Source organism: Homo sapiens, chromosome 7 (genome assembly GCF_000001405.40).
Source record: "Homo sapiens chromosome 7, GRCh38.p14 Primary Assembly".
Lineage (NCBI taxonomy): Eukaryota > Metazoa > Chordata > Mammalia > Primates > Hominidae > Homo > Homo sapiens.
The window spans coordinates 50,881,871-50,893,064 of record NC_000007.14 but is presented as its reverse complement, the minus strand read 5'-3'; the positions used below and the strand labels follow the sequence as shown (position 1 = coordinate 50,893,064).

Here is an 11,194-nt window from a genome sequence, read left to right as displayed (position 1 = left end):
ATGGTTTTATAAGGGGCTTCCCCCAGCTCAGTTCTCATACTTCCCCTTCCTGCCACCATGAGAAGAAGGACATGTTTGCTTCCCTTTCCACCGTGATTGTAAGTTTCCTGAGGCCTCTCCAGCCCTGTGGAACTGTGAGTCAATTAAACCCCTCTCCTTTACAAATTACCCAGTCTCCGGCAGCTCTTTATAGCAGCAGGAGAACAGATGAATACACCATGCCTCTTTAAACTCCCTTAATCTTGGTTTCTCATGTTTTATGTTTCATCACATTGACATTTTTTAAAGAAATCAAATCAATTATTTCATAGAATGTCCCTCTAGTGGATTTATCTAATGTTTTCTTATAATTTAACTCATTAATCCATTTCTAGCAGGGGAAATAAAGAAGTGATAGTATATTCTTCTCGATATATAATATCAAAGGCACAAAATATCAGTTTGTCACAATATTGGTGACCCATTCATTTTAGCCACTGATGATTCTTGCCTGAATCAATTATTACTATAATTTTTGCCAAGTGGTGATTTTTTTTATTATTATTATACTTAAAGTTCCAGGGTACATGTGCACAACGTGCAGGTTTGATACATAGGTATATATGTGCTATGTTGGTTTGCTGCATCCATCAACTCATCATTTACATTAGGTATTTCTCCCCCAGCCCCCCACCCCCTGACAGGCCCCAGTGTGTGATGTTCCCCGCCCTGTATCCAAGTGATCTCATTGTTCAATTCCCACCCATAAGTGAGAACATGCGGTGTTTGGTTTTCTGTCCCTGTGATAGTTTGCTGAGAATGATGGTTTCCAGCTTCATCCATGTCCCTGCAAAGGACATGAACTCATCATTTTTTATGGCTGCATAGTAGTCCATGGTGTATATGTGCCACATTTCCTTAATCCAGTCTATCACTGATGGACATTTGGGTTGGTTCCAAGTCTTTGCTATTGTGAGTAGTGCCACAATAAACATATGTGTGCATGTGTCTTTATAGCAGCATGATTTAGAATCATTTGAGTGTATACCAAGTAATGGGATTGCTGGGTCAAATGATAATTCTAGTTCTAGATCCTTGAGGAATTGCCACACTGTCTTCTACAATGATTGAACCAATTTACACTCCCACCAACACTGTAAAAGCTTTCCTATTTCTTCACATCCTCTCCAGCATCTGTTGTTTCCTGACTTTTTAATGATTGCCATTCTAACTGGTGTGAGATGCTATCTCATTGTGGTTTTGATTTGCTTTTCTCTGATGACCAGTGATGATGAGCATTTTTTCATGTGTCTGTTGGCTCCATAGATGTCTTCTTTTGACAAGTGTCTGTTCATATCCTTTGCCCACTTTTTGATGGGGTTGTTTGTTTTTTTCTTGTAAATTTGTGTGAGTTTTTTGTCTATATCTCTGTTTTGGTACCAGTACCATGCTGCTTTGGTTGCTGTAGCCTTGTAGTATAGTTTGAAGTCAGGTAGCATGATGCCTCCAGCTTTGTTCTTTTTGCTTAGGATTGTCTTGGCAATGTGGGCTCTTTTTTGGTTCCATATGAACTTTAAAGTAGCTTTTTCCAATTCTGTGAAGAAAGTCATTGGTAGCTTGATGGGGATGGCATTGAATCTGTAAATTAATTTGGGCAGTATGGCCATTTTCATGATATTGATTCCTCTTATCCATGAGCATGGAATATTCTTCCATTTGTTTGTGTCCTCTTTTATTTTGTTGAGCAGTGGTTTGTAGTTCTCCTTGAAGAGGTCCTTCACATCTGTTGTAAGTTGGATTCCTAGGTATTTTATTCTCTTTGTATGAATTGTGAATGGGAGTTCGCTCATGATTTGGCTCTCTGTTTGTCTGTTAATGGTGTATAGGAATGCTTGTGATTTTTTTGCACATTGATTTTGTATCCTGAGACTTTGCTGAAGTTACTTACCAGCTTGAGGAGATTTTGGGCTGAGACGATGGAGTTTTCTAAATATACAGTCATGTCATCTGCAAACAGGGACAATTTGACTTCCTCATTTTCTAATTGAATATCCTTTATTTCTTTCTCTTGCCTGATTGCCCTGGCCAGAATGCCCCATACTATGTTGAATAGGAGTGGCAAGAGAGGGCATCCTTGTCTTGTGCTGGTTTTCAAAGGGAATGCTTCTAGTTTTTGCCCATTCAGTATGATATTGGCTGTGGGTTTGTCATAAATAGCTCTTATTATTTTGAGATACATTCCATCAATACCTAGCTTATTGAGAGTTTTCAGCATTGAGGGCTGTTGAATTTTGTCAAAGGCCTTTTCTGCATCTATTGAGATACTCATGTGGTTTTTGTTGTTGGTTCTATTAATGTGATGGATTATGTGTATTGATTTGCGTATGCTGAACCAGCCTTGCATCCCAGGGATGAAGCTGAGTTGATCGTGGTGGATAAGCTTTTTGATGTGCTGGTGGATTCAGTTTGCCAGTATTTTATTGAGGATTTTCATATCAATGTTCATCAGGGATATTGGTCTAAAATTCTCTTTTTTTGTTGTGTCTCCACCAGGCTTTGGTATCAGGATGATGTTGGCCTCATAAAATGAGTTAGGGAAGATTCCCTCTTTTTCTATTGATTGGAATAGTTTCAGAAGGAATAGTAGCAGCCCCTCTTTGTACCTCTGGTAGTATTTGACTGTGAATCCATCTGGCCCTGGACATTTTTTGTTGGTAGGCTATAAATTATTGCCTCAATTTCAGAGCCTGTCATTGGTCTATTCAGAGGTTCAACTTCTTCCTGGTTCAGTATTGGGAGAGTGTATGTGTCCAGGAATTTCTCCATTTCTTCTAGATTTTCTAGTTTATTTGCATAGAGATGTTTATAGTATTCTGATGGTAGTTTGTATTTCTGTGGGATCGGTGGTGATATCACCTTTATCATTTTTTATTGTGTTTATTTGATTCTTCTCTCTTTTTTTCTTTATTAGTCTTGCTAGCGGTCTATCAATTTTGTTGATCTTTTCAAAAAACCAGTTCCTGCATTCATTGATTTTTTGAAGGGTTTTTTGTGTCCCTATCTCCTTCAGTTCTGCTCTGATCTTAGTTATTTCTTGCCTTCTGCTAGCTTTTGAATTTGTTTGCTCTTGTTTCTCTAGTTCTTTTCATTGTGATGTTAGGGTGTCTACTTTGGATCTTTCCTGCTTTCTCTTGTGGGCATTTAGTGCTATAAATTTCCCTCTACACACTACTTTAAATGTATCCCAGAGATTCTGGTATGTTGTGTCTTTGTTCTCATTGGTTTCAAAGAACATCTTTATTTCTGCCTTCATTTCGTTATTTACCCAGTAGTCATTCAGGAGCAAGTTGTTCAGTTTCCATGTAGTTGTGCGGTTTTGAGTGTTTCTTAATCCTGAGTTCTAATTTGATTGTACTGTGGTCTGAGAGACTGTTTATTGTGATGTCTGTTCTTTCACATTTGCTGAGGAGTGCTTTACTTCCAATTATGTGGTAAACTTTTGAAATAAGTACGATGTAGTGGTGAGAAGAATGTATATTCTGTTGATTTGGGGTGGAGAGTTCTGTAGATGTCTATTAGGTCTGCTTGTTGCAGAGCTGAGTTCAGGTCCTGGATATCCTTGTTAATCTTCTGTCTCCTTGATCTGTCTAATATTGACAGTGGGGTGTTAAAGTCTCCCATTATTATTGTGTGGGAGTCTAAGTCTCTTTGTAGGTCTATAAGGACTTGCTTTATGAATCTGGGTGCTCTTGTATTGGGTGCATATATATTTAGGATAATTAGCTCTTCTTGTTGAATTGATCCCTTTACCATTGTGTAATGGCCTTCTTTGTCTCTTTTGATCTTTGTTGGTTTAAAGTCTGTTTTATCAGAGACTAGGATTGCAATGCCTGCTTTTTTTTGCTTTCCATTTGCTTGGTAGATCTTCCTCCATCCCTTTATTTTGAGTCTATGTGCACCTTTGCACAAGAGATGGGTTTCCTGAATACAGCACACTGATGGGTCTTGACTCTTTATCCAATTTGCCAGTCTGTGTCTTTTAATTGGGGCATTTAGCCCATTTACTTTTAAGGTTAATATTGTTATGTGTGAATTTGATGCTGTCATTATGATGCTCGCTGATTACTTTGCCCGTTAATTGATGCAGTTTCTTCATGGCATCAATGGTCTTTACAATTTGGCATGTTTTTGCAGTGGCTGGTACCAGTTGTTTCTTTCCATGTTTAGTGCTTCCTTCAGGAGATCTTATAAGGCAGGCCTGGTGGTGACAAAACCTCTCAGCATTTGCTTGTCTGTAAAGGATTTTATTTCTCCTTCACTTATGAAGCTTAGTTTGACTGGATATGAAATTCTGGATTGAAAATTATTTTCTTTAAGAATGTTGAATATTGGGCCCCACTCTCTTCTGGCTTGTAGGGTTTCTGCTGAGAGATCTGCTGTTAGTCTGATGGGCTTCCCTTTGTGGGTAACTCGACCTTTCCCTCTGGCTGCCCTTAACAGTTTTTCCTTCATTTCAACCTTGGTGAATCTGACAATTAAGTGTCTTGGGGTTGCTCTTCTCAAGGAGTATCTTTGTGGTATTCTCTGTATTTCCCGAATTTGAATGTTGGCCTGCCTTGCTAGGTTTGGGAAGTTCTCCTGGATAATATCCTGAAGAGTGTTTTCCAGCTTGGTTCCATTCTGTCCATCATTTTCAAGTACACCAATCAAACATAGATTTGGTCTTTTCACATAGTCCCATATTTCTTGGAGGCTTTTTTCATTTCTTTTTACTCTTTTTTCTCTAACCTTGTCTTCTTGCTTTATTTCATTAATTTGATCTTCAATCACTGATATCCTTTCTTCCACTTGATTAAATCGGCTATTGAAGCTTGTGCATGTGTCACGAAGTTCTTGTGCCATGGTTTTCAGCTCCATCAGGTCATTTAAGGTCTTCTCTGCACTGTTTATTCTAGTTAGCCATTCGTCTAATCTTTTTCAAGGCTTTTAGCTTCTTTGTGATGGGTTCAAACATCCTCCTTTGCTTGGAAAAGTTTGTTATTACCGACCTTCTGAAGCGTACTTCTATCAACTTGTCAAAGTCATTCTCCATCCAGCTTTGTTCCATTGCTGGTGAGGAGCTGCAATCCTTTGGAGGAGAAGAGGTGCTCTGATTTTTAGAATTTTCAGCTTTTCTGCTCTGGTTTCTCCCCATCTTTGTGGTTTTATCTACCTTTGGTCTTTGATTTTGGTGATCTACAGATGGGGTTTTGGTGTAGATGATCTTTTTGTTGATGTTGATGCTATTCCTTTCTGATTGTTAGTTTTCCTTCTAATAGTCAGGTCCCTTAGCTGCAGGTCTGTTGGAGTTTGCTGGAGTTCCACTCCAGACGCTGTTTGCCTGGGTATCACCAGCAGAGGCTGCAGAACAGCAAATATTGCAGAACGCAAAATATTGCTGCCTGATTCTTCCTCTGGAAGCTTCGTCCCAGATGGGCTGCCGCCTATATGAGGTGTCTGTCAGACCCTACTGGGAGGTGTCTCCCAGTTAGGCTACACAGGGGTCAGGGACCCACTTGAGGAAGCAGTCTGTCCATTCTCAAAGCTCAAACGCTGTGCTGGGAGAATGACTGCTCTCTTCAGAGCTGTCAGACAGGGACTTACTTTTAAGTCTGCAGAAGTTGTTTGCTGCCTTTTGTTCAGTTATGCCCTGCCCACAGAGGTGGAGTCTAGAGGCAGTAGGCCTTGTTGAGCTGCTGTGGGCTCCGTCCAGTTCGAGCTTCCTGGCCGCTTTGTTTACCTACTCAAGCCTCAGCAATGGTGGACACCCCTCCCCCAGCCAGGCTGCCACCTCATAGATCGATCTCAGACTGCTGCACTAGCAGTGAGCAAGGGTTCCATGGGTGTGGGACCTGCCGAGCCAGGCATGGGAGAGACTCACCTTGTCTGCCAGTTGCTAAGACCTTGGTAAAAGCACAGTATTTGGGTGGGGAGTGTCCCGTTTTTCCAGGTAGTCTGTCATGGCTTCCCTTGGCTAGGAAAGGGAAATCCCCTGAACCCTCGTGCTTCCCTGGTGAGGCAATGCCCCACCCTGCTTCAGCTTGCGCTTCGTGGGCTGCACCAACTGTCCAACCAGTCCCAATGAGATGAACCAGGTACCTCAGTTGGAAATGCAGAAAACCAAGTGGTGATTTTCCAATGTCATCATCATTTATTGATTGATATTTTACAGTAATAAATATATTTTCATTCTCTGATTTATTCCTTTTTTATTCATTAGTTTCTATTAGTATGGACTTATAGAATCATCTTCTTCAACAGATGATGATCCATTGCTAACATTATTGATTTGGTTGTTCAAATTGTTCCAGGCTTTGCCAATGAAGTCCCTTAAAACTGGCTATGTATCTTTTTGAAATGTCACCCTGAATCTTTGAGCTATTTCTAACTTTCCTGAACAGTAAGATATTCTGGACTTGTGTTGTACTTTGCCAGTTCCAGTCTTGGAATGAGCTTATTTATCAAAGGAGCTCTGTTTCTTTTTGATGAATAGTATATTTAGAAATGAAGATCTTGGCACTAGGTGTGCTCATTGTTGCTGGGGTGTCATTGCTTTAGCCTGTAGTGGACAGAGCTAAAAAGTAAATACATAAAGATAAACAGGCTGATAATATGTATCATGAGTTTTTTACTGATTCTTTCAATTCCAACATCTAATTACACTTAAATAACATAGGATTCATTCCACATTTTCTTATCCATATTTATAATTGCCTTTTCCAACAGTGAGAAACCTGGTTCCCATTGTCCTCATCTATTTACTTATTGCTTAATCCTAGGATACACTAGAATGCACAGAAAGTAATTTTGGAAATGCTAACCCATGCAAAACTTCCTACCCTAAAGTTCAATCTTTCTTTATAATTTTTGTCTTTAGTCTGAAGATATAGTCAAAATATTGTATTCAAAAATTACTTGAGTTAATATTTTTCTCCTTCAATGGGGTTCTTACATATAGATAAGTCTGTTTGTCTCATTTTGTGTACTTTTCAGGTTTTCTTTTCACATCTTTATTTTATTTATTGTTTATGCAAAATATTAATATAGCTCCAAACATCTGAATTACATAAAAAGGAAGACTCAAAAAGTATAACTCTTCACTGTTCACCCCCCACCTCACCACACACATCATCTTTTCTACCCTGTTCCTCATGATCTTCTGTAAATAAACAGTTTTGCAGTTGGGAATTTATCAACTTCATCTCTATTTTCAGATTCTTTTCATAGAGAGCTGCAAAATAATCTTTTGTATTCTTAAAAACTTCTGTTTCAATATTATTTCCCCCATCATTTCATATTTTGTACATTTTTCCTTTCTCCCCCCTTGTTCTTATTTAAACTAGCTAATGCTTCATCTATTTTGTTCATTTTTTAAAAAATCAAAATTTTGATTAACTAGATGTACTGTTTTCTATTCTCTACTTCATTTAATTTATGCTTTTGTTTTTACTTTTTTCTTAGTTTTGCTCTCATGTAGTTTACTTTGTTGTTCTTTTTCTAATTTTGGAGTTGAAATTTTAATTTGTTGTTATTCTTTTATGTTTATTGGTATATTTAAGGCAACGGATTTTCCTCTAATGATCTTAAATGTATACTGTAGATTCTAATATAGAGTGTTTTTAGTATCATTAATTTTTAGAAGTTATTTGATTTCTGTTTATATTTTCCCTTTTGCCCAATAGTTATTTCATAGGAGCTTTTTTTTTTTTTTTTTTTTTTTCCAAATTTCCAGAGGTCAGGGAAAAGACCCTTTATTTTCTGATTAATTTCTAATTTTATCACCTTGTGATCAGAGAGTGTTATAATATTTATACAATACAAACATCCTGAATCTTTCTTTATAACCTAATATGTCTTCAACTTTGCTCGGTGCTGCATATATGTTTAAGAAAAGCTGTTTTCTCTTTTATAAGAATATACTGTTCATATATAAATAGAAGATCTACTTTATTGATTGTGTCATGTAGGTCTCCTATGGCCTTTTTTATTTTTTTGTTTAATCTGCCTTGTACTAAGAACGCCTATTATGTTCTCCACTCTTAGCACATTTCTATGTCTCATTGCATCTCCTGTAGTTTCTGCTTTATAAAGGTGGTTATTGTATTACTTGGTGCATAGATGTTTATAACTATTATATATTCTTTGTGAATTGTGGCTTTTAGCATTAAAAAGTGTCATTTTTAGTCAGGTATAATGTTTTTGGCTTGAATTATACTTTGCTGACATCATGATTGCAACCCCTGCATTTTTTCTGGCAGAATTTTGCCTATCTCTTTATCTTTAGTCTTTTTGTGCCACTGATTATTTTGAGGTAAGATGTGTTTTTTGTATGCCAGAGCTGTATCTTGTTTTGTGAGCCATGTTTAAAATATTTTTAATAAGTCAGTTAAGCCCATTCACATTTAGAATGACTGCTATATTTGATCTCAACTGTGTCATATTAATTTTGTTATAACTGTACTGTGTATGATATTTTCTCTTTTTGATGTGATGTTTTCCTTATGCTTTAAAAAATATTATTTTTATTTAATAACATTATTTGTAGCTTTGCACTTAAAATTTTACTGTCTAGTTTATCAGCTTTTTAATCAGTCAGTTATATGAGTCCCATCTATTAAATTTTAGCGGTCTAAAATATCAGCATTCCTTTTCAGCTTTTTAAAACTTGTTTTTTAAAAAATATTTAAAATGGATTTTTAAAATGGCTTTAATTCAGTCTTGTTTTTCCTCTTCTGTATTCTATGTGGCTTTTTAAAGATCTTACCTTGTTCTCTGCAAGTCTGGGGGTACAAACTTAAGAAAATAGCCCCACTAGAAAATGATGCTTATGTTTAGTATTTAGGAGGTATGAAGTTATAGTGCATTCTGTTTTCCTATTATGTTGAGAAAGTATGCAAGGTGTGACATTTTTGTCTTTCAAGGTGTGAAAGACAATTTTATTTGCCTTTCTTATTGATTTCTATTGTTTTTGGAGGTAGTGTGGACCACCTGGACCTTGGCTTTTCCAGATGTTCCATCTGTAAAGTTATAAAAGATGGCAGGCTATTGTCCCTGGTCCCTGGATGCTTAGCTACTCTAGTAGAGAGTTGGGGTCAGATAATCCATTTCTCCATATTACTCTGAGGCAAAATTCCATACCCCTTGAGATCATCAATACAATGACTATTCTCCTCCAGACCAGATAAGAAATGAATCCAATTTCTTAGGGACCCATATTCATAGACTGAACTATGCCACCGCTCTTAATTCACTTGTCTTGGGGATTCTCCTAATTCTCAGGAAGATGGGAGGAGACATTGTAATATCCTTACTTTTACTTCACCCATCCATGTGATTTTGTTTCTTATAAGAGCCACCATCCTCAGAAGTTCCTCTTTCGGCATTAAGAAGTCAGTTCTTAACTAGACCAATAAAATCATTCATCATTTCTAGTTAGGCAAGTGTCACATTTCAATAAAATGAAACAAGCATTTCTTTGACTTTCAAAATGATAAAATCTTTCTCACTGTGGGTACCGAAGTATAAGCAGGTGGTCCTAAAGGCTTTTCATAATCTATTCTTGCCTAACATTACACTAGATCCATTATTTCTTTAGAGTAAAAGTGTAGAATTCAGATGATTTTATGCAAATATTTTTATAATTTGGCAGAGGATTCACCCAGATTCTGTCAACTCTATTCATTCTTTCCTGCAGGTTGCAGTTCCAGAGTTCTCTGTTTGCAACTTTGGATCAATAGACAGAATATTCTTTTTGAAAGTTGGAATTCACGTGCATAAATCCCTAGAGGGGGAATAACACTCTAAGTGTGCTCAATTGTCTCTATTGTACTTTTGCTTTCATATCTGGGCCATTACAGACCCATTTGATGTACTTTAAAAGCCAGTGCAGATGGATAGAATTCATGGGATAATGAATATTCATCCTCAAAAACCAAACCAGGAATCTATGCAGTCATGATACTGTTATGCAAGCATCACCTGTCAAATAGCCCATTCATTCCATTTGCTTTTCCATGTGTAAGGAAATGCTCTGTTTCTCAGGATCTCAATCTCTCTCTTTCTGTCTCTGTCCATATCATGATCGCTCATGTTCTCTCTCCCTCACCCTCCCTTCTGATCCCCTCTTTCTTTCTCTACCTCTTTAATTTTCTCTCCCTCTGCGTATTTTAATGTAGTTTTAAGATCAGCTCAATGTTATGATAACGTTTTGTAAACGTGTGGACTTTCATAAGGATTGTAAAGCAATTTTCAGACTTTACCTTACACTTGTAAGTGGGAACTGAACAATGAGAACACATGGACACAGAGAAGGCAATAGGAAGGGCATTCTCACTTCCTGATAAGCTTTCTACATAATGAAAACAACAATGAAAAGAGACGGGGGAAATACATAGAACTTAACAAGTCACTTGAAATCAAACAAAATTTCAAAAATTTACAAATAAAATTCCATTTTTGTATTAAATAAGCTGCCTCTATTGGAAAAAAGTACGATTAGAAAGAAAATACAGAAGTCCAAAATAAGTGTTCGGCAATGTTAGCAATTTCAAAAATTATTTAAAAAGTAATAAACTATGATTTGTTTATCACATTAATGAAATGCTAATATTGTTGAAGACAGCTGGAGAAACAAGCCCTCTCACACGTGGCTAGTGGGCAGGCAAATGTCCCAGGCCACTCTGGCGGGTAAGCGGCAGCACACATCAAACAGCCAAGCCATGCTTCATAGGGCTGGACCAAGTAATTCCATTGCTAGTCTTTCATCTTAAAGAAATAATTGTGAATACGAACAAAGAATTAGCTAATAGGATGTTTATGACATATTAGTATTGACAGCAACGAATAAGTAAGCAAGTAGACAGAATAATCTAAAGCCCCCCAAAGGAAAATAAATAGCCATGCACATTGTACCTTTTTTCTACCCAGTGCCAATTCTGTTCCCCCAAGGATCCAGGTGATAACGTTCCCATCTGTCTCTGCACCAACACCAGCACCCCTGCTTAGAGATTTCCACTTGTCAACTGTCAGCCACTCTTCCATCAGCCACCATGTTCAAACCACTATTCACGAAGCCACCTCTGCTCCAGCCACAGGAAAGTAAACAAATGGGACAGCACCCTCCCGTCAGCCCCATCCCCTCAGTCACCACTGACTCTAAACTCACCCAGGCCATATG

The 11,194-nt window shown here is 37.5% G+C and overlaps 1 annotated feature.

Moving 5' to 3' along the window:
- Positions 5,370–5,869: an enhancer, noted in NCBI's record as "H3K27ac hESC enhancer chr7:50954893-50955392 (GRCh37/hg19 assembly coordinates)". NCBI's record gives its function as "activates a minimal SCP1, AML or CMV promoter by ChIP-STARR-seq in primed H9 embryonic stem cells {active_cell/tissue: H9 hESC(primed)}" and the evidence as "EXISTENCE:reporter gene assay evidence [ECO:0000049][PMID:30033119]".